This window comes from Homo sapiens, chromosome 15 (genome assembly GCF_000001405.40).
Source record: "Homo sapiens chromosome 15, GRCh38.p14 Primary Assembly".
NCBI classification, from domain to species: domain Eukaryota; kingdom Metazoa; phylum Chordata; class Mammalia; order Primates; family Hominidae; genus Homo; species Homo sapiens.
The window spans coordinates 83,140,610-83,162,911 of record NC_000015.10 but is presented as its reverse complement, the minus strand read 5'-3'; the positions used below and the strand labels follow the sequence as shown (position 1 = coordinate 83,162,911).

The window sequence follows — 22,302 nt, the reverse complement described above, 5'->3', positions numbered from 1 at the left end:
ACGGATATGGTTATTTACAACAAAAAACAAATGGAACAAATTGGAAATGTGGAGAAAAGCTAAAAACTGTCACAAAATTTTTAAGTCTTCAAATTCAGGGTCATCACTTATGTTCATTTGAACGTTAGTAGAGCCTAGCATGAACTTTCTTAGCTTGTTGTCTCTGCCACCCAACATCTTCCTCATTCTTGTCTTGAAAGAGAGTTAGGAGAAGCCTCTCAAGACAGACTTTTTTTCGTGAGAGAAATAATTGTAATTTCTCTCAGGAAGTTTTATTTACTTTTGTATTATTTTTATGTAATAGACATTATGGACTATGCAACTGATCATGTTTTCCTCCTTAAGAGAGGTTGCTAGAAAGCTTAGAAATAAGTTTTACCTATAATAAATGTATAGGGCTTTATGATGCATATTTTTGCATTTTCCTTATTCCCGCCCCCATTTTATTTTTGTACCATTGGTTTGATTTTTTTAGAACCCATCTCCAAATGATCTGGTTGTACAGTAGTCTATATGTGATTTTTTTGCTGGTTTGATCATCCAGAGGCAGATTTAAAAATACCTGGGGGAGAATTAACTTCAAAAAACCTGTCATAACATTGATTCTACTGAACTTAGTTACTAAGTATTGGGTGTCCCTGAACCTGAGATTATACTTGCCCTGGCAAGTATGAATGTTCACCCTCTCTGAAGGCAGAAATTATGTCAGTGTTTCTTACTCTACTTACACAGTGCTTAACACAGTGCCTGGCCCATGGTAGGTGTTTAAAAAATAGCTATCAATTAAATTAAAATTAGTTAAATGATGCAGGGGAGGTATGTGAAAAGTGAGGTGAGCTTAACAAGAAGGCTACGTTTGGTTCAGCTAAAGGAGTACCCTAGGCACGACCAGAATTTTCCTCAGAACATGACTTTGAATCTGTTCTAATTCTGATGTAGGTGACTGGAGCCTCAAGTTCTTCTGCTTCTAACATAAACCCAGTAGTTTTAGTCTAGACAATTTTCAAGGAACCCTTAACATGGAAAAATATATCATCCTCAGTGCATTTAGCTTTGAAAAAATGTATTTTCTTTTCTATGCTTAAAAAATTTTAAAACATATAGCAATTAACCAATTGAGAGGGGATTTGATTTACACAATTATCTATAATCCAGAAAAAAACAGGGTTGTTTATCAAAAAATTACAACTTGTTTTAGAACAGTTCATTCAGGCTCCCTCTTGCCGGCAGTAGCTAACATGGCCAGTTGTCAGTTAAAGTCATTCCTGCGGAATGCTAGTAAAAATGTATCATTTATTCATAAAAGAATGCTTCCTGTAGCAGGAAGACGTCCATCTCATACATCCAAAAGTGGGACAAGATAAAAATAAAGAGGGCAAAAATTGTTAACTCTTTCATCAAAAAATAATGACCATTAGCCCTGACTCTTCTGGCATTATTACAGTATAGGCAGCTGAGTGCAGTGGTTCATGCCTGTAATACCAGCACTTTGGGAGGCCAAGGCTGGAGGATCACTTTAGCTCAGGAGTTCGAGACTAGCCTGGGCAATATAGTGAGATCCCGTCTCTACAAAAAAATAACATTAGCCAGGCATGGTGGCTGTAGTCCTAGCTACTCAGGAGGCTGAGGTGGGAGGATCACTTGAGCCTGGAAGCCAAAGCTACAGTGAGAGACCCTTTCTCCCCTGCCCAAAAAAATAAGTATAGGCAAGCCCTGATTAGCATCAAGTAGCTGATGTGAATACCAGGCAGCTTAGCCCACAGTTATTTCTTAAGCATAGAGTCAAAGACTGGGGAAGGTCAAAAGCTAGAGTCTAATAATTCACGACAAATTCTTCTAAAAGTGAAGTTGCCATACACAAAGTCCATTTATTGTGTTCAGTTTATCAAGCAAGACTTTGACTTTTTTTTATTAAGATGTCCAGTAATGTAATAAATTATTTCTGGATTCAATGAGGTAGAATCATGCTGACTGAGCAATTAAAGGTGAACAATAAGGAAAAGGTTGGTGCTTCTTAAAAGTTTGGTGCTTCTTAAACCGCTCTGGGGTCAGAAAGCTTACCCAGGAGTTTTAATGAACTTGAAGTTTTTGATCAGCTGCACAATGCGAGGGATCAACCCTGAGACCCAGGCAGAAAATGGAATTTACAGAGATCAATAGTAAACTGTTAACCTCTCGTCTGAAAGCTTTCAGTATCTTCTCTTTACTGATAATTTCCAAATTTACATCTCCAGCTTACACATTTCCCCTCTACTCCAGAGTCCTCTCTCCAGCTACCTGACATCTCCACTTGGATGTCTAAACTGGATTTTAAATGTAGCATTCAAAACTGAGTTTTTTGCCCCCAAATATTGTTCCCCCCCCAAAATATTTCCATTTCGGTAAATACCAACTCCTTCTTATTTCTCAGTCCAAAACCTTGGAGATGGCCAGGTGTGGTGGCTCATGGCTGTAATCCCAGCACTTTGGGAGGCTGAGGTGGGCGGATCACAAGGTCAGGAGATCAAAACCATCCTGGCCAACATGGTGAAACCCCGTCTCTATCAAAAATACAAAAATTAACTGGGTATGGTGGCATGTGCCTATAATCCCAGGTCCTCAGGAGGCTGAGGCAGAAGAATCGCTTGAACCAGGGAGTCGGAAGTTGCAGTGAGCCGAGATCGTGCCAGTGCACTCCAGCCTGGCGACAAAGTGAGACTCCGTCTCAAAAAAAAAAAAAACCTTAGAGATATCCTCAACTCCTCTACCCTTTCTCACATATGCCATATGCAGCCCATCAACAAATCTTGATGCTCTTTCTTGAGAATGAATTCAGGATCTGACCACTTCTTACCAACAGTACTGCTTACACCCTGGTTCAAGTCACCATCATTACTTCAGAAGCCTTCTAATTAGTCTCCCTGCTTCTACTGTAGTAACTAAGTCTTCAGTCTGTTTTCAGTACAGCAGCCAAAGTTATCCTATTAAGACATAAATTGCCACTTCTCTTCTCAGAACCTTTAATGGCTTCCCATCTCACTCAAAGCCTTTATAGTGGCCTTCAAGGCCCTAAATAATCTGTGCCCCTACTCTGTTAACCTGTCTCACACCAGTCGTCCTTCACTCATTTCACTCTAGCCACACTGACCTCTTCTGTTTCTCAAACTTATGAGGCACTCTTCCTCTCCCACCTGAGGGACCTTGTACTTGCTCTTTCTTCAACTTGTTCTTTTCTTCTCCAGGTAACTGCATGAGTTATTCCTTCACTTTCTTTGTTCTTTACTTAGCTATTCCCTTTGCCTTCCTTGATCTGTATATCTATAATTATAAAATCCATCTCCTATTCTTCCCATCCTTCTCTGCTTTATTTTTTTTAGCACACATACTATATATTTTATCTTTTTATTGTCCAAACCCCCACCCCTGCCACTAGAACATGTGCTCCAAGAAAACAGAGATGTTTGTCTCTTTGTTCCCTGTAGCTCCTCTGGAATAGTGCCTGGCACATTGTATTAACAAATGTTCAATCAATGTTTGTTGAATGAAGGAATGTGTGAATCTCAGTTTGAGAAGTAAGCTCTAGGGGTGTCAGCCAGAACTGTGGCCTAATGCTAAAGACTCTGATCTATTAGCCAGGCTCAGAATTTGTTCTAACTTCTTTTTTTTTCTTGGTTGTGATTAATTTAGGATGTGGTTTAAATTGGATAAAAGTCTATCTGCTTTGTCACTTCTAATTTTTTTCTTAGTGCCTCATTAAACACTAAAATGATTTTTTAATTTATAGAAATAATAGGCTGGGCACGGTGGCTTATGCCTGTAATCCCAACACTTTGGGAGGCCGAGGCAGGTGGATCACCTGAAGTCAGGAGTTCGAGACCAGCCTGACCAATGTGGCGAAACCCCGTCTCTACTAAAAATACAAAATTAGTCAGATGTGATGGAGCATGCCTGTAATCCCCTACTTGGAAGGCTGAGGCAGGAGAATCCCTTGAACCCGGGAGATGGAGGTTGCAGTAAACCGAGATCATACCATTGCACTCCAGCCTGGGCAACAAGAGCAAAACTCTATCTGAAAAAAAAAGAAAGAAATAATAGTGAATAAATATACTAACGTGGTACAGTAGTGCCCCCTTTATCTGTAGGGGATACATTCCAAGACCTCCAGTGGATGCCTAAAACCGTGGATAGTATGAAACCTATATATACTATGATTTTTCCATCTGATAACAGAGATAGCTATTAAGTAACTAGTGGGAAGGTAGTGCAAATATGATGGATATGCTGGACAAAGGGATGATTCATGTCCCAGGCAGGATGGAGTGGGTGTGAGATTTTATCACCTGTTCAGAGGGGTGTAATATTTAAAACCTATGAATTGTTCATTTTCCATTGGACCACAGTTGACCATGGGTAACTAAAACCACAGAAGGCAAAACCACAGTTAAGTGGGGAATTACTATATAGAGAGTTAAAATCTTTTTTTTATTCTAGCATTTATATTTTTACTGTGAATTTCACAAAACCCTTACCTGTGGTAAGATTAACATAGATAAATCTTAGTTTAAGATGATGATTTAAGTGGCCAAAGTAGACATATTTAATTCTACTTATGTAACTAAAAATCAGTTTTTAAATGAAGATATTGATAATTTAAAAGTAAAATCAAAGTAGCACAATCCAGGTGGCTGGCTTGTATGCTCAGCTATCCATTTTTTCTGCCTTGAAGTATGTGTCTGAAACACCTCGTAATATGTGCCTAACTTGAAGGGTTTATATGTACTTTAGATTTGTTTGCTATAGTATGCTCTGACATCTTCACTGATACTGATATTTAAAATATCTTACCTTTGAAGGTCAGTGTGTCAATTCTATTTCTAATATGTCTCTGCAGTGCATTTCTAGGTCCCAAAGACCTTTTTCCATATAAGGAGTACAAAGACAAGTTTGGAAAGTCAAACAAACGGAAAGGATTTAACGAAGGATTGTGGGAAATAGAAAATAACCCAGGAGTAAAGTTTACTGGCTACCAGGTAATGGTTTACTTCCTTGTCACTTGCTATATCTCATTTCTTTGGTTTTAACGCTTTTTCAAATCTTTCTTATATGTCCTTTCTACTAATAGTTACCTTGAAGTCACAATTCTTTTTGACTCCAGTAGCATTTTGGATTAAATGTAATTCTTAATCAGAAGGGTTCAAATCAAGTGTCCATTGGAAAATTCAGTTTGACAGCCCTTTGTTTTTGAAAATCTTCCGAGTAAGCGGAACCCTTTCAAATGAAAACAGAGTAGTTCTTTTCAGTGTTTGTTCTTTGCTATTTTTTCAAAAATGTAATCAGCTAATATTTTATTATTTCTTAGGCAATTCAGCAACAGAGCTCTTCAGAAACTGAGGGAGAAGGTGGAAATACTGCAGATGCAAGCAGTGAGGAAGAAGGTGATAGAGTAGAAGAAGATGGAAAAGGCAAAAGAAAGAATGAAAAAGCAGGCTCAAAACGGAAAAAGTCATATACTTCAAAGGTTACTAAGAAACTTCTCATTGTTATTAATGTTATATGCATATCCATTAAACATTTTTAGATTATTTTCCATGTGTTTATTGGGTACATAGAAATATACTAAATTCTATGGAGCCTCTGCCTTTAGGGACAAAATACAGCAGAGGGAAGTCAGGTAACCTTAGATATTAGAGCAATCTGACTATTGACTCTTTAGGGCTGATTTGGCCCTGAAAATACCACCTTTTTAGTTGGAGGAGGACTGACTGTTCTTTAGTTAAGGATATATGAGTAGCTTTGCCTCCTACAGTAACCTCCAGACGAGCTCTAAAGAATTGAGAAATGTAGGAAACACAATATAATTCAAGACTATGTCTATGTACTATATGTGTAAATGCATCACATGTAACTTAACTATGGGGTTCTAAGAAATGCATCATGGCTGGGCGCGGTGGCTCACACCTGTAATCTCAGCAGTTTGGGAGGCTGAGGCAGGCGGATCACAAGGTCAGGAGATCGAGACCATCATGACTAACATGGTGAAACCCCATCTCTACTAACAATGTAAAAGCAAAATTAGCTGGGCATGGTGGCGGGCGCCTGTAGTCCCAGCTACTCATGAGGCTGAGGTGGGAGAATGGCATGAACCCAGGAGGCGGAGCTTACAGTGAGCCAAAATCGTGCCACTGCACTCCAGCCTGGGTGACAGAGCGAGACTCCATCTCAAAAAAAAAAGAAATGCATCATTAGGCAATTTTGTCATTGTACAAACAACATAGAGTATACTTACACAAATGTAGGTGGTACAGCCTACCACACGTCAAGGCTTCGTATATGTGGTCTGTCACTGACCAAACATTACTATGTGACATGACTGTAAAAAGATATATTTTTACTTGTCATTCTGCTTCAAAGAATGTGCTTTGGCTGTTTATTTATTCAGTTCTTTTATTTCCTGATCACCTAGTCTATTCCAGACACCAGACTAGGTATACAGCGGTGAGCAACTCCATTCCTGCCTTCACATAAATTATAGTACAACAGAGAGTGGGGGTAGCACACAGTAATCACGTAAATAATAAATTGTGAAAGGGTGTGAAGGAATTGAATGGGAGCAGGGGGACCTAAAATAGGTCCCCTATTTTAGATAGGGTGGCCAGGGCTTTCTGAAAACGTGTAGTTTATGCTGAGACCTCAAAGAAGAGAGTAGGAGGAGAAGCCATATATGGCAGAGGGAAAGGAATGTAGCATCAAAGCTCTGAGGCAGGGAAGAGTTTAGCATGTTTTTCCTGTATTGAAAGAAGGTGTGGCTGGAGAATCATGACCAAGGGGGAAAGGCTGGCAAAGGCCTAATTATGCAGACTTGTAGGCCATAATGAGAAATTTGGATTTTATTCCAAATCTAACAATACTTGAAGATTTTAAACAGAGGAATGACATGATCCTAGATTTACAAATTGAAAGTCTAGGTTTTTTCATATGGTAATTCAGAAATACAATGGAAAGAACTCTGAGATTGTGAAAATTATTCACCTTTTAGAAACTGAAAGCAAGATAAATGGATCCTTGAAGACCAAAGATTGGTACAGGTTTCACTATAATTGGTCTGTCACATGATTGAATACCTGGATAAATTACTTCTATTTAAATTCTGGTGTTTAGTGACTGAATACACTTAGGAAACTCTAAAAACAAGTACCTAGAGTTTATTAGATTATCAGCATTTATTTTGGCAGTATATAAAATCTTACCCAACTGGCATACAGGCAGAATTGTGTGAATGCAGCATTGTTTCCTGTGTACCTAATGAAAAACATGTGATTGCCTTGGATGGGGATAAAGTTTGCAAATGACGACAAAGTAATTAGAATTTTTCTTGTCAGACTTTATCTTCCATTGTAATTACTTTTTTAAGCTGAATTTCTTTTAGCATTTTGGACTTCATTTAAACACCTACTTGAATTGATTTTACTTAATTTGTGATTGCCTGCTGAGCTTCCACCTAATGTGTTGTGCAACCCTAAATTATCTAAGCTACCTAATGTTGCCTAGGCATTTAATAGTGTGGATATGTGGCTTTTAAATGCCATTATTTTATTGCTTGTTACAAAGACCAAAAGTAATGGGGCTCCACCTGGGTGGACTTAAAATTTAAAGCAGAGAAAGGGTAAAGACACACTTAGCTTACTAATGTTTATCTATTTTAAATTAAGGGATCATTTCCTTTGCTTTCCTTGAAGATTACAACTTCATGATCATTTAATAGCCTTTTGGCTGGTCACAATGGCTCATACCTATAATCCCAACACTTTGAGTGGCTGAGACAAGTGGATCTCTTGAGCCCAGGAGTTTGAGACCAGCCTGGGCAACATAGTGAGACCTCATCTCCACAAATAATAAAATTAGCCAGGAGTGATTGCTCACACCTGTAGTCCAGCTACTTGGGAGGCTGAGGTGGAAGGATTGCATGAGCCCAGGAGTCCAGGCGAGTACTGAGCCATGATCATGCCACGGCCCTCCAGCCTGGGAAACAGAGTGAGACCCTGTCTCAAAAGGGGGGAAAAAAAAGAATAGCTTTTTATTTTTAATATCAATGAAATAACCTAGCATAATGGTTCTCAAACTGTTACATGTTTTAGAATTACATGGAAGACTTATAAAGACAAGCTTACATTGTTTGACAAGCTTGCCACATTGAATAGTTATACTGTATTTACTAGGAGAACAAAAAGTTTTTCACTTTTACTATCATTCTTGATCTTAACTGGAAACACTCCACATTTGTATCATTAAATCCCTGTTTTCCCTTCTTGTAAAAAGTAAAAATCACCACATTATAACATGACATTTTAGGTTTGGTTGGTAGTTTCAGTTAAGTAAAATAGAAACATTGTTGAACCCCATCCCCAGAATTTCTATTTCAGAAGGTCTAGGGTGGGGTCTAGGAATCAAATTTCCAGGTGAGGCTTATCCTGCTGATCTGGGAACCACATTTAGAGAACCGCTTGCCTAGCATAACTTCATTGTTCTCTTTTGCTTCCCAAATGCTTTTTAAAAAACAAATATGGTGATTTTTCCTTTTTTTTTTTTTTCTTTGTCTTGAGACAGGGTCTTGCTCTGTCACCCAGGCTGGTGTGCAGTGGTGCAATCTCAGCTCACTGCAACCTCTGCCCCCTGGGCTCAAGCTGCCCTCCCACCTCAGCCTCCCCAGTAGCTGGGACCACGGGCGTACATCACCACACGCTGCTTTTTTGCTTTTTTATTTTTGCTTTTTTTTTTTTTCCAGTAGAGACCGGATTTTATCATGTTGCCCAGGCTGGTCTCAAACTCCTGAGCTCAAACAGTCTGCCCGCCTCAACCTCCCAGAGTGCTGGGATTACAGGTGTGAGCCACTGTGCCCGGCCTGTTTTTATGTCTATTTCTTAAGAGTTGAATGGTCTTCCTTTGCATGGAAAATTAGTGGCTCACAAACTTTTTTTTACTACATTCCAGTTGGGTAGAGGAAAAGGCCCCACACCTGTCTCCTCTACCTCACCTAATTTCAGTTTTCTAAGGAAAACGCTCAGTAATCACAATGAAAAGTCATGCTATAGTAGATTTGAGGGAGATTATATGTCTTCTCTCTTTAGCAGTAAGGCTATGGATTATTCATATTTGAGTCATAGCAGATACTGGAAAATCATAGGTCAAAAATATTTTGCATACAAATTATTTACTATTTACAATAGGACTAATGAGAGCCTCACAACAAACTAAACTGATGTTGATAAACCACCAGTAATTTTAGTTTAAAAAAACAAAGATAGCAAAAATCAAACACATAACCAATTTAGGACCACACTGATAAAACTGAGTCCTTCTCCAAAATTACAGGAGTTTCAGTAATCTGAAAAGCTTTTCAAGATTACCAAATAGAGCTTGGCAACCAGATTTCTTCATAGAATACCAAATGTTGTGACTCATTAATAAAACACTAGTAATGCCCTAATTCTATTCTGTATATCCCAAATACATGCCAAATTGTAATACTTATAAACTAATTTATAAGGTTACTCATAAAGATCCTTTATGAGCATTAGAAATTTTAGGGAGTTGTTCATTATTATGAGAACTGCCAGGGGCCAGGCATGGTGGCTCACGCCTGTAATCCCAGCACTTTGGGAGGCCGAGGCGGGCAGATCATGAGGTCAGGAGATCGAGACCATCCTGGCTAACGAGACCATCCTGGCTAACACAGTGAAACCCCATCTCTACTAAAAATACAAAAAAGTTAGCCGGGCGTGGTGGCAGGTACCTATAGTCCCAGCTACTCGGGAGGCTAAGGCAGGAGAATGGCATGGTGTGAACCCAGGAGGCGGAGCTTGCAGTGAGCCGAGATAGCCCCACGGCACTCCAGCCTGGGCAACAGAGCGAGACTCCGTCTTAAAAAAAAAAAAAAAAAAAAAAGAACTGCGTATCGAGGACTGTTATTTGAAAATCACTATATAAAGCAGTTGCTACATTTTAATAATTATACTATAAAGAGAAAGTGTTTCACTTTTACTATTGTCATTCTTGATCGTCACTTGAAATACTCCACATTTGTATTATTAAATCCCTGTTTCCCTTCATGTAAAAAGTAAAAATCACATTTTAAACTGACATTTTGGGCTTGGCTGGTAGTTTCAGTTAAGTAAAATAGAAACAGTTTAATTATATATTCTGCCACACAGCTAGAGGACGTTTTCTCTTTTTTTGTTTTTTTTTTTTTTTTCGAGACAGAGTCTAACTCTGTCACCCAGGCTTGAGTGTCACTGCAACCTCCACCTCCCAGGTTCAAGTGATTCTCCTGCCTCAGCCTCCCAAGTAGCTGGGATTACAGGCCTCTCGCCACCACACCCAGCTAATTTTGTATTTTTAGTAGAGACAGGGTTTCACCATGTTGGCCAGGATGGTCTCAAACCCCTGACCTTAGGTGATCTGTCCACCACAGCCTCCCAAAGTGCTGAGATTAAAGGCGTGAGCCACTGCGCCCAGCCCCAGGTAATTTTTGTAGTTTTAGTAGAGACAGGGTTTTGCCATGTTGGCCAAGCTGATCTCAAACTCCTGACCTTACTTAGGTGATCCACCCGCCTCAGCCTCCCAAAGTGCTGGGATTACAGGCGTGAGCCACCATGCCTGGCCTATGTTTTCTCTTTGAAAGTTGCATTTTTAAAAACTGATTATCTGAAGAAGCTTCAGTTTGCTCATTCATTTCTGGAAGACCAGAAGTAACTTGGCAAAATCAGTTTTGCCTTACCTCTTACTTGCAACGTGCTTGAAGACTCTTAAAATGTCTCAAAGAGGAAGTGTAGAAAAACACTATATTTTACTTTCTTAAGGCGCACAATTGGGGCCAGCTTTCTATAATTTTAATGCAATGCTGCCAAGCAACTCTTGAGGCAAACTAATTGTATTTTCATCTTCCTCTAGAGTTCATCTTGTTTTCAAATGCAAGATGACGAGGAAAAAGGACTGGTTCACAGTATGGCCTTGAGTTCTTAAATAATGCTCCACAATTGAAAAGATTAGTTTATATCAAACAGTTTTATCAAGATGATTCTGGGTATCCCATTAGCCAAACAGCTTCAAGAGGTGTTCCAGCATGAATATCTATATATTCTCTTGGATAGTTCACCTCACTTCTTTCAATTTCCACTACTATAAAATGATGGGGAGGACAAGATGACCTTTAGGGTACCTTCCACTTCTGTAGCCTTCTTAAGGTGGTGTCCATCCAGCTGTATTTATTCATTGACAGTGTTCTAGGTACATTAATCTTCATTTTGTGCTTTTAATATCACATTGCTGGAAATAACTAAGAGGTCACCTAGCCCACTTCTGCTTCCTTTCCAGCTAGTTAAACTGAGGTCCAATGAGGTGAAATGATTTGTCCAATGTCACCTAGCTCAGCCTTGGCATACTACATGTTGTGTCAGTATATCCTCTATCAACCACTAAAACTAGATAGATGCAAGTCAGCTATTTCTGCATCTCTTACTTGTACATTTGGATTTCTGCTTTTGACTATAATATTTAACTTGTCTAAACATTTAGAAATCCTCTAAACAGTCCCGGAAATCTCCAGGAGATGAAGATGACAAAGACTGCAAAGAAGAGGAAAACAAAAGCAGCTCTGAGGGTGGAGATGCGGGCAACGACACAAGAAACACAACTTCAGACTTGCAGAAAACCAGTGAAGGGGTAAGGATGTGCTTATAATTTCTCTTACCTTCTATTAGAAGACATTTTGCTTCAGATTCAGCATCCATATGTCAGCATTAGTAAACATTGTGTTGATAAATGGAGAAGTATTCTCAGCCTATTATATGCATCCACTCAGCCCTTTAATATAATCAAATTCTTAGAGTCTGAACAAAAGAGCCAAGTGAGAATTATACCTGCCTGTCAATTTGGATCTCTATGAACAGGTTTATTTTTCTTTATACTAACTTTAGAGTCTTTTTAAAGTACAATGTGAAATACTGAAATTATGAAATGCCACCCCAAAATTCAACAGTTGTATTTCTGTTATCACAAAATCAATGGCATGTTCAAAATAGAGTATTACATACTGCTGCTTCTTTCCCAGAAGCAGTGTGTAATTCATTGTACCCATGAGGACTTTAAATATGCAAGCAATGTTTGAATATTGATATTTAAAGTACCCCTAGGGACAAATTTGTCTATGATGACTCTTCATAACTTTTGTTAACCTTTGTTAACTTCAAAGCACAGGTAAGTCCACCTTTGTAAAAAACTTGATGAAGGCAAATTTTGCCCCCATGCATTTTCCATGAGTCTTTCCTCTATGAAGACTAGTTAGACAATGTCAAATCATTTAAAAATAATGACCTAAGAAATTTATCTGGTTTCAGCAGAGTTCTTGCCTGTTCATGTCAGTCCTGTTTACCTCTCAACTCTTTTCTTCCTTCATCCCAGTTATCTATAATTACTCCCAAAGTATTATGATTCTGATTGTTCTCTTATTCCTCTCACCCAGCTCAGCCCTACTCTATCCTCTGCTTATCTTCATCCTCTTGACTTTTCTTTAATAAGTAGTCCTCTATCATTACTTTTGCCAGCAGCCTTCCCAGGGACATATACCTGCTAACAGTCACTGAGAACTTGAACACCTGGCTCACTTGATTTTCTTTCTATTCGACCTGCTACCTTTATGTCAGGTCGCTTCAATATGCAAGTAGCAACAACTCCAACAATTTCTCTTCCCTTTACTACCAAACTTATTTCTAGATGCACTTCTCATGACAAAGGAAGAGTTGTCCTACCCCCTTAATACTCAGAATGTGGTCAGTGAACCAGTAGCATCAACATTAGGTAGGAGCTTGTTAGAAATGGAGAATCTCAGACCTGCCCGAAACTCCAGATTCTGAATCGGAATCTGCATTTTAACTCAACCCCAAGTAATTCATATGCACATGAAAGTCTGAGAAGCACTAATTTACATCTTTCTATTGTCATGGTTCAGAATATTATCTCCTCCTGTTTTCTCCAAAGCACACCCAGTCATTCGTCCCCTTCTTCTATACCACATCTTCTTTTCCACTGGCTCCTTCCCCTCTGCCTATAAACAGCCTAAGGTCTCCCTTAATCTTGATGATACCTCCCTTCCATCTTATATTTTACCCTTTTCACTTTTCCCTTCATCTCTAACTTCGTAAAAAGAATGATCTTTTCTCCCAGTCTCCATTTCCTCTCCTCCTCCTGATGACTTAACCCATTGCACTCTTATTTCTTCTTTGACCACTTCATTGAAATTGCTCTTGTAAAGGTTCCTAGTGATCCTCTCCTTGCCCGATCCAACGTCTCATTTAGTCTTCGTTTTCACCTCTGCAAAATTTAATACTATCAGACATTTCTCCTCCTGACTTTTCCTCCAGGTTACCAATCTGTTCTGCTTCCTCTCCCTGTTCCTTCTTAGTCTCTTTCTAGAGCTCCTTCCTTCAGTCTGACTTGGCACACTTCTACTCTGAAAACATCTTGTGTTCATCTTATCCATACATATGATTTCAACTTTACTGATTACGTTTTCATTCTATATATCCTATGCATTGTAGATTCATTGTTCTAACCACTAATAAAACCATTTCTTCTTGAAAGCACCTTAGAACATAATAGCTGCTACAGCTAGCACTAGTATCCTGTGTGCCACATATTGTGCGTGGTCTGCATTCATTATCTCATTTAATCCTCATACAAACTTCAGGAGGTAGGTGCAGGTATTGCTTTTGCTTTTTAGTTGGGGAAACTGAGACTGAAAGAATTGGCCTAGGATCACACAGCTAGTAAGAGCTCAAGTGGGAAGCAAGAGCCTATTTTTAATGATATATTTGTTATATACAAAATAATATATATAAATATAAGGTTATAAAGCTATAAAGTGACCCTACCACCGAACCTAAAAACTAGAACATCACAATTAACTTGTATCTATTTACGTATTCTTTCCAGTCCCTCTTCCTACCCAGAGATGAGCACTAATGTTGTATTATTTCCTTTTCTTTTTGAAATGTTTGCCCATGCCTAACATATAGGTGTATAAACAGTATATTGTTTAGTATTACTTATTTTTAGCTTTTTAAAAACTTATAACATTCACTCAGCACTGTTTTCCCAAGATTCCTTCATGTGGTTATGTGTAGCAGTAGTCTATTTTAACTACTGTATAATATTCAGTTTTATGGGTATACCACAACTTATTTATCCAGTCTCCTATTGATGGGCAGTTGGGTTGTTTCCAGCTTTTTGCAATTATTATTATTATTTTTTTTTTTTCGAGACGGAGTCTCACTCTGTCGCCCAGGCTGGAGTACAGTGGTGCGATCTTGGCTCACTGCAAGCTCTGCATCCCAGGTTCACACCATTCTCCTGCCTCAGCCTCCCAAGTAGCTGGGACTACAGGCACCCACCACCACACCTGGCTAATTTTTTTGTATTTTTAGTAGAGACGGGGTTTCACCGTGTTAGCCAGGGTGGTCTCGATCTCCTGACCTCGTGATCTGCCTGCCTCAGCCTCCCAAAGTGCTGGGATTACAGGTGTGAGCCACTGTGCCCGGCCAGCTTTTTGCAATTATTATGAACTGTGTGGCTGTGAGCATTCTCATGCCTGTCTCCTAGTATACGTGTACAAGAGTTTATTTAGGATATGTAACTAGAACTGAAAATACTGAGCCGTGAGTTGATGGATTTTAACTTTACAAGATAATGCCAAATTATTTTCCGTAGTAGTTGGACATTCTCACCAGAGGTGTGGAAGAGTTCCCTGTGATTAACTTGGCATAGTCAGGCTTTTTAATTATTGCCAATATAGTGAGTATAAAATGGTCATTATAGTGTTAATTTATAGTTCTCTGATTAATGATAAGGTTGAGCTGCCTTTCATGTTTATTGACCACCCATGTTTTCTCTTCTGTACAGCGCGTGTTTTGGGTTTTGCCCATTTTCTTATTGGATTTCATTTCTTACTGATTTGTAGGACTTCTCTACATACTCTAGATTCTAACTAACATGGATCATCATATTTCTTGCAGATATCCTCTCCAAGTTTATGGCTTGTCTATTCAATTTCTTTCTGATATTTTTAGCAATCAGACTTTTTAAATTTTATTGTATTGTAGTCAGCTTTATCAGACTTTCCTTTTATGGCTAGCATTTTTCTGTCTTGTTTAAGCATAACCATTTGAACCAGCACCATTTATTGCATAGTCCTTCCTTTTTTCTCTGATCCGCAGTGCATCTGTCGTATATTCATAGGTCTCTCTCTGGGTTCTCTATTCTGTTCTGTTGGTCAATACCACACTCTCTTAATTATAGTAGCTTTATAATGAGTCCTGATATCATGTAGGGCTAATTGAATAGTTTTAGTTTTCAAATATTTAATAGTCATGGTCTGGGATAGAAGTTCAAGGAAGGTCTTTTTTTTTCTTGATGGGAGAATTTACATATGCTAGTAAGAATGATCCAAGTCAGAAATGATCACAAAATGATAATGTAAGAAAGAATTGCTGAAGCAGTGTCCTTTAGAAAGCAAGAAGGTAGGGCCAGGTGCGGTGGCTCACACCTGTAGTCCCAGCACTTTGGGAGGCCGAGGCAGATGGATCACGAGATCAAGAGATCGAGACCATCCTGGCCAACATGGTGAAAATACACCATACTAAAAATACAAAAATTGGCTGAGTGTTGTGGTGCGTGCCTGTAGTCCCAACTACTCGGGAGGCTGAGGCACTAAAGTCACTTGAACCCGGGAGGTGGAGGTTGCAGTGAGCTGAGATTACATCACTGCACTCCAGCCTGGTGACAGAGCGAGATTCTGTCTCAAAAAAAAAAAAGAAAGAAGGTATAAGATCTGGTGCACATCTGGAGGGGCTACCTTGGTTCATCCATTAAATTGGAAGGAAAGGCAGAGTATTTGGGCACGGATACAGGTAAGTAGATACTTGGGGTGAGAGCTTGTAGAAATTCTTACCTGATTGCTTCTATTTTCTTAAGGAACAAGGTTAGCATTTGAGACTGAGAATAGGAAAAAATGTTGGAAGATTCAAGAGAGAGAAAAAGGTACAAAATAGTCATTTAGAAGAATAAGAGAATGAATGAACTTGGGAAATGAAGTTGAATTGCCAGGTAATACTAAAGGCTTGCTTGAGACCAGTGGTCTTGAATTTAAAGTGAGAGGGGTCACAATGGTTGTGTGTTTTTCTCCAGGCATATTCAATTATTCAGTCACAGAGAGGACAGATAATTGAATTTAACTAGAATTAAGGTTTTCGCAGAGAGTAGGGTAAAGAAGATTAGAGGCCAGGGAATCAAGGATGTGTACAAGGATTATAACAATGGACCATGGAATCCAACATATCTTAAGAGGAAAGATGTAAATGAGAAAGGGAGAGAGTCAACAGAGTTTGAGTATGACCTGGAAATATAAATGGTGATAGAAGAGTGAGGTATTTGAATAGAATCATGGAAAGGTTGCAGTAGTTGCCGATGACAGTGCAGGTGCTACTAGTATTTCCAGTGGGACACTTAATTCTTCATTGTACGAGCACTGTCTACATCACAAGACATTTAGTACCCATGGCCCTGTGTGTTAAATGCCAGTAGAACCCCAGAGTTCTTAATAATAACCTAAAATGCCTACATAATTTTGCTTTCAAAACAGTGGCTTAAGACAGTATTTACAGTTACTCCCAGTGGTTGTGAATCACTTGTTTTAAGAAAGAACCATGGACTTTGGGAGGCTGAGGTGGGCCGATCACCTGAGGTCAGGAGTTTGAGAGCAGCCTGGCCAATATGGTGAAACCTGTCTCTACTAAAAATGCAAAAATTAGCTGGGCATGGTGGTGCACACTTGTAGTCACAGGTACTCGGGAGGCTGAGGCATGAAAATCGCTTGAACCCGGGAGGCAGAGGTTGCAGTGAGCCAAGATCGAGCCACTGCATTCCAACCTGGGCGACAGAGTGAGACTCCATCTCAAAAAAAAAAAAAAAAAAAAAAAAAAAAAAAGGAAGAAGAAAGGGAGAGAGAGAGAAAAAAAAAAAAGAAAGAACAAACCATGGGAGCGAGTGACTGAGGTAGGGTCTTAGAAGACAAGATCTTTGGCAGAGAGGACACCAAGGAACTGAGATACCAGAATGTTAGAAAGATAATCTATGTGGATATTGAAATCACAGGAATTATGATGAATGACAGAGGGCCAGAAGTGAAATCTTTAAAGAGTAAGGAGAATAATCCAGGGAGTCTGTAGATGATTGCAGGAAGGAGGGGAGTAGCTTACACTGAGATTCAAAACTGGGAGGCTTTTATTTTCAGGGAAGGTAGGGCACAGGGGAGAGAATGAATAGCTTATAAATAGTAGGGAGGAGCAAGAAGGACACCTTCTCCACCTCCAGGGCAAGTAGTAGTACAAGAGCTGTGGGAGAGAACAGAGCTACCATTTGAGAGGGTTACAGGGAAAGAGGCAGCACTGCCCTTAGAAGAAAACAGGTTTTAGTTAGAACAAGTTGTTGAGTGGAATTTCTTGGAAATTCAAATTGAGAATATAGGAGTTTTGCTAATGGCTAACCGTGGTTTTCAGGGGGCCCAGTAGAAGAGATTAAAGAATGGGGTTGGGGGTTCTGTTAAGAAATGAGGCCGTAAAAGGACCTGTGCAAAGCTGACTGGGGATATGAGTTCAGGAAGTGATGGGTGCTCTGGAGCCCATCTTATAGTATCCAGAGTAAGCTAGGATAAAGGGCATAATGATAAAAAGCCTGATGGTCTCAAAGCAGATGATGGGTTGATGTTATGCATATTGTTAAGGGAAAGAAAGAAGAGATTTTTACGAGGGTCCCTTTTTGCTCCCAGAGGCTCTCTGAGTACTTCCTCCCTTCTGCCACTAGCAGAAGGAGACAGAAAGGAGCAGGCGCCCTTATCTAGAATGCTTGGAGTTCCTTCGATTCATATGGATAGAAGGTGAAAGTTACTCATCTGTGGCCAGGAGGACACCATGCACTGATTGGCTTACACCTACTGTATTAGTTATCTATTGCCATGTAACTGAAAACTAGTGACTTAAAGCAGCATTTATTATCTCATCTTTTCAAGACTCATCAACAGTCCATTCAGGTGCAACTTGCTAAATCCTCTGGCTCTGGGTCTCTTGCAAAAGGAACTGAGATACCAAAATGCAGTCCAGGTGTCAGCAGGAACTCAGATCATCTTAAGGCTCAACTGGGGATGGATCCTCTTCTAAGATCACTCAAATTGTTCCTGGCAGGATTCAGCTCCTCACGGTTGTTGGACTGGAGGCCTCAGTTCCTCATGAGTTGTTTCCCAGAGGCCTCCTCTGATGCCTTGCCCCATGGATCTCACCATGAGGCAGCTCACAGCATGGCAGCTGGCTTCATCAGAGTAAGCAGTAAAGTGTCAGTAAGAGAGAGTGCTGGCAAACAGAAGTCAGTCTTTTGTAACCTAATCTCAGAAGTGACATCCCATCACTTTTGCTTCATTCTGTTTATTACAAGCAAGTCACTAGGTCCAGCCCACACTAAAGGGGCGGTGATTACACAAGAATGTGATGTAGAGATACCGGAGGCAGGAATCATTGGAGACTATATCAGAAGGCTACCTATCCCTAAACCAACTACTGATACAAGAGGATTAGAACTGGCTCACACCATTCAGGTTCTCCACACCCCTGGAGCTGGATTCAGGTCGCTAAATCACAAGGTTACCACACAGCTATGGCATCCGCCTGTAGTCCCAACTACCTGGGGGGCTGAGGCGGGAGAATTGCTTGAGTCCAGGAGGGCTGCAGTGAAAGATACTAGTGGTGGGCAGCCTTGTCTGGTGCTGACGATTGCCTGGCAGTCAGTGGAGGGGAAGGTCTGAGAATCGTGCCGTATCGGTAAGTTGGGACTTAAAATTTGTAATTATTCCAATATATTTACTAGAGATTATTTGGAAAACAGACCCTCAAATGACAATAAAGTCTTATATCATTAAAAACAAACAAACAAAAAAAACACAAGGCTACCACACAACTGGAGGGAGGGACAGAGGATAAACATTGGAATGATAGCTACAATGTTTACTGTAACGATTTACCATGTGGCCATGCCTTTATTCTTCTGACCCTGAACCCGTTCTTTCTACAGTATAGTGGCTGCTGCCTTATATCTCCCCAGTGCCCCACAAGATTAAGTCTGCGTTCCTTATTCCGTCATACAATGCCTTTCACAGCTGACCCCAGTTTATCTTTGCAGTCTTACCTCTCACCGTTTACTCTCATTTATTCTTGGTCTCAGGACCTCCTTAATACCATTAAAAGTTTGTTTGTTTGAGATGGAGTTTCGCTCTGTCGCCCAGGCTGGAGTGCAGTGGCACGATCTTAGCTCACTGCAACCTCCGCCTCCTGGGTTCAAGCGATCCTCCTGCCTCAGCCTCCTGAGTAGCTGGGATTGCAGGCACGTGCCACCACGCCTGGCCAATTTTGTGTTTTTCGTAGTTAGGATTTCACCACGTTGGCCAGGCTGGTCTCGAACTCCAGACCTCAAGTGATTCGCCCGCCTCAACCTCCCAAAGTGCTTCGATTACAGGCGTGAGTCACTGCACCTGGCCCCCTTTAAGGGGCCTGTAATCTCAACACTTTGGGAGGCCAAGGTGGGTGGGTCACCTGAGGTCAGGAGTTCAACACCAGCCTGGCCAACATGGTGAAACCCCATCTCTACAAAAAATACAAAATTAGCTGGGCGTGGTGGCATGTGCCCGTAATCCCAGCTACTCAGGAAGCTGAGGCAGAATTGATTAAACCTGGGAGGCGGAGATTGCAGTGAGCTGAGATTGTGCCACTGTACTCCAGCCTGGGTGACAGAGCAAGACTCCGTCTCAAAAAAAAAAGTTATTAAGGGCCCCAAAGAGCTTTGTTTATATATGTGATCGTTAATGATATTTATTTAATTAGAAATAAAAACAAATTTTAAAAATACTTAATTCATTTAATATAATAAATCCATTACTTAAATAGCATTTTTATGAAAATAACATTTCACAGAAAAGTTTGCAGAAAGACATTTTTACATTTTTGCAAATCTTTTTAATGTCTGATTTGATAGAAGACAACTAGATCCTCATATCTATTTCTGCATTCTCTTTATTGTAATATGTAATTGTGGTTGAAGGTATATGAAGAAAATCTGGTATTATACAGATATTTAATTGAAAAATGGTGATATGAGTATCTTAATCGTCTTGCTTTTTTTTTAAACTTCAGGGAGTACATGTGCAGATTTATTATTAAAGGTTAACTCATGTCACAGGTGTTTGTTGTTACCCTGGGTTCTAAGCCTAGTATCCAATAGTTACTTTTTCTGATCCTCTTCCTCCTCTCCTTTACCCTCCAGTAGGCCCTAGTGTCCATTGTTCCCCTCTTTGTGTCCATGAGTTCTCATTATTTAGCTTCCACTTATAAGCAAGAACACGCGGTATCTGGTTTTCTGTTCCTGTGTTAGTTTGTTAAGGATAATGGCCTCTAGCTCTATGCATGTTCCCACAAAAGACATGCTCTCACTCTTTTTAATGGCTGCATAGTATTCCATGGTATATATGTACCACATTTTCTTTATCCAATCTGTCATTGATGGGCATTTAGGTTGATTCCATTTCTTTACTATTGTATATAGCGAGTGCTGCAGTGAACATTCTCATGCATGTGTCTTTATGGTAGAATGATTTATATTACTTTGGGTATATAAGCAGTAATGGGATTGCTGGGTTGAATGGTAGTTCTATTTTTAGCTCTTTGAGGAATTGCCCTACTGATTTCCACAATGGTTGAACTAATTTACACTCCCACCAACAGCATATAAGCGTTCCCTTTTCTCTGCAACCTTGCCAGCATCTGTTATTTTTTGACTTTTTAGTAATAGCCATTGAGTTGTGTGAAATGGTATGTCACTGCAGTTTTGATTTGCATTTCTCTAATGATCAGCGATACTGAGCTTTTCTTCATATGCCTGTTTGTCTAGCGCTCTGAATAGCTTTCCCCCAGTTAGAAAATATAGGTTTTCTGAATTACTTGGGTCTTCCAAATATTCACTCATTTCAGTACAAAATGTTTTTAATCACATTTTTAATATCACTACCTATCTCATCAGAAAAGTCTTTAAGTATTGGGGCCAAGTTTGGTGGCTCACACCTGTAACCCCAGCACTTTGATAGGCTGAGGCAGGAGGATAGCTTGAGGCCAGGAGTTCAAGGCTGCAGTGAGCTGTGATCACACCGCTACACTTAGCATGGGCACAAGAGCAAGACCCTGTCTCTAAAAAAAAAGTCTTTAAATATTGGAAAACTGTCAGTCATGGAGGATTTGAAATTCTAGTTTTCACTGAACACTCAAATTTTATCATTGGCAAAAAACAGTTGTTTTTCTGCAAGTAATAAGTTACTTATTTGTTATAACGTGCCAAATTGCCCAGTCTGCATAGCCATATTGAATATTATCATTCCTTCATATCAAAATGGTACTCCTTGAAAAGATCCTTACGGCTTCTGTTGTTTCATAGCTTCTGCTTACAGTGTTCTGGGTATCCTTCAGTTTTGCTACCACCCTATAGCCTCTCAGTGTGCCTCACATTTAGATACCTCCAGAGAGAATCCGATTGGATTCTTCAGCCATTATCTAATATAGGGGTGCATGGCAACCAGTGCATAAGGAACCACTTGTGGCTACTTACTCAGAGGAGACTTCAGATCTAGGAGACAGTCAGAGTACCATGTCCAGAATATATACCATGATGAATTAGCAAGATGCAGTTTTCAATACATAGATGCAAAGTGATTATGGTATGAGAATTTTTTAATCTCAGATTTTGTAATTTGCTTTTACAAAGCACCCATTTGACAGCACCTTGTTTAAAGACCACAAAAAGCATGTCCTTAAAACTATAGTCACATTCTTGGTGCTCCCTTCACTTTGTTTGGGGTATTAATACTACTCTGAGGCTGCCATGGGACCACCTGTTCCAAAAATATTCTTTGATGTGGATTGAGTAGTTTTTACTGTGATTATTCTACCAAGATAAACATAGAATTTATTGCCTTTCACAGTAATAATAAGAAAACATTGTTAAAGAAGGTTTCGGCCAGGCACGGTGGCTCACGCCTGTAATCCCAGCACTTTGGGAGGCCGCCGAGCCAGGCAGATCACAAGGTCAGGAGTTTGAGACCAGCCTGACCAACGTGGTGAAATCCCATCTCTACTAAAAATACAAAAATTAGCCGGGCATGGTAGCACACACCTGTAATCCCAGCTA

The 22,302-nt window shown here is 39.8% G+C and overlaps 1 protein-coding gene across 3 annotated transcripts in view, besides 1 other annotated feature; it reads left to right on the top strand.

Annotated features, from left to right (window-relative positions):
* The window catches only part of HDGFL3 (HDGF like 3), a 95,086-nt gene that overhangs the window by 44,912 nt on the left and 27,872 nt on the right, over nt 1–22,302 (top strand). For all 3 annotated transcript variants that reach the window (XR_001751298.3, XM_006720554.5, NM_016073.4), the window contains exons 3-5: nt 4,871–5,009; nt 5,339–5,497; nt 11,551–11,697. Coding sequence is in view for 2 of the 3 variants with exons in the window: in XM_006720554.5 (XP_006720617.1) it covers nt 4,871–5,009; nt 5,339–5,497; nt 11,551–11,697 (445 nt within the window). In the remaining variant the exon portion in view is untranslated. The remainder of the gene's footprint in view (nt 1–4,870; nt 5,010–5,338; nt 5,498–11,550; nt 11,698–22,302) is intronic.
* Nucleotides 3,683–4,882: an enhancer, noted in NCBI's record as "CDK7 strongly-dependent group 2 enhancer chr15:83826782-83827981 (GRCh37/hg19 assembly coordinates)". NCBI's record gives its function as "activates an origin of replication core promoter dependent on BRD2, BRD4, P300/CBP, MED14 and CDK7 cofactors, with strong dependence on CDK7, by STARR-seq in HCT116 cells {active_cell/tissue: HCT116}" and the evidence as "EXISTENCE:reporter gene assay evidence [ECO:0000049][PMID:35650434]".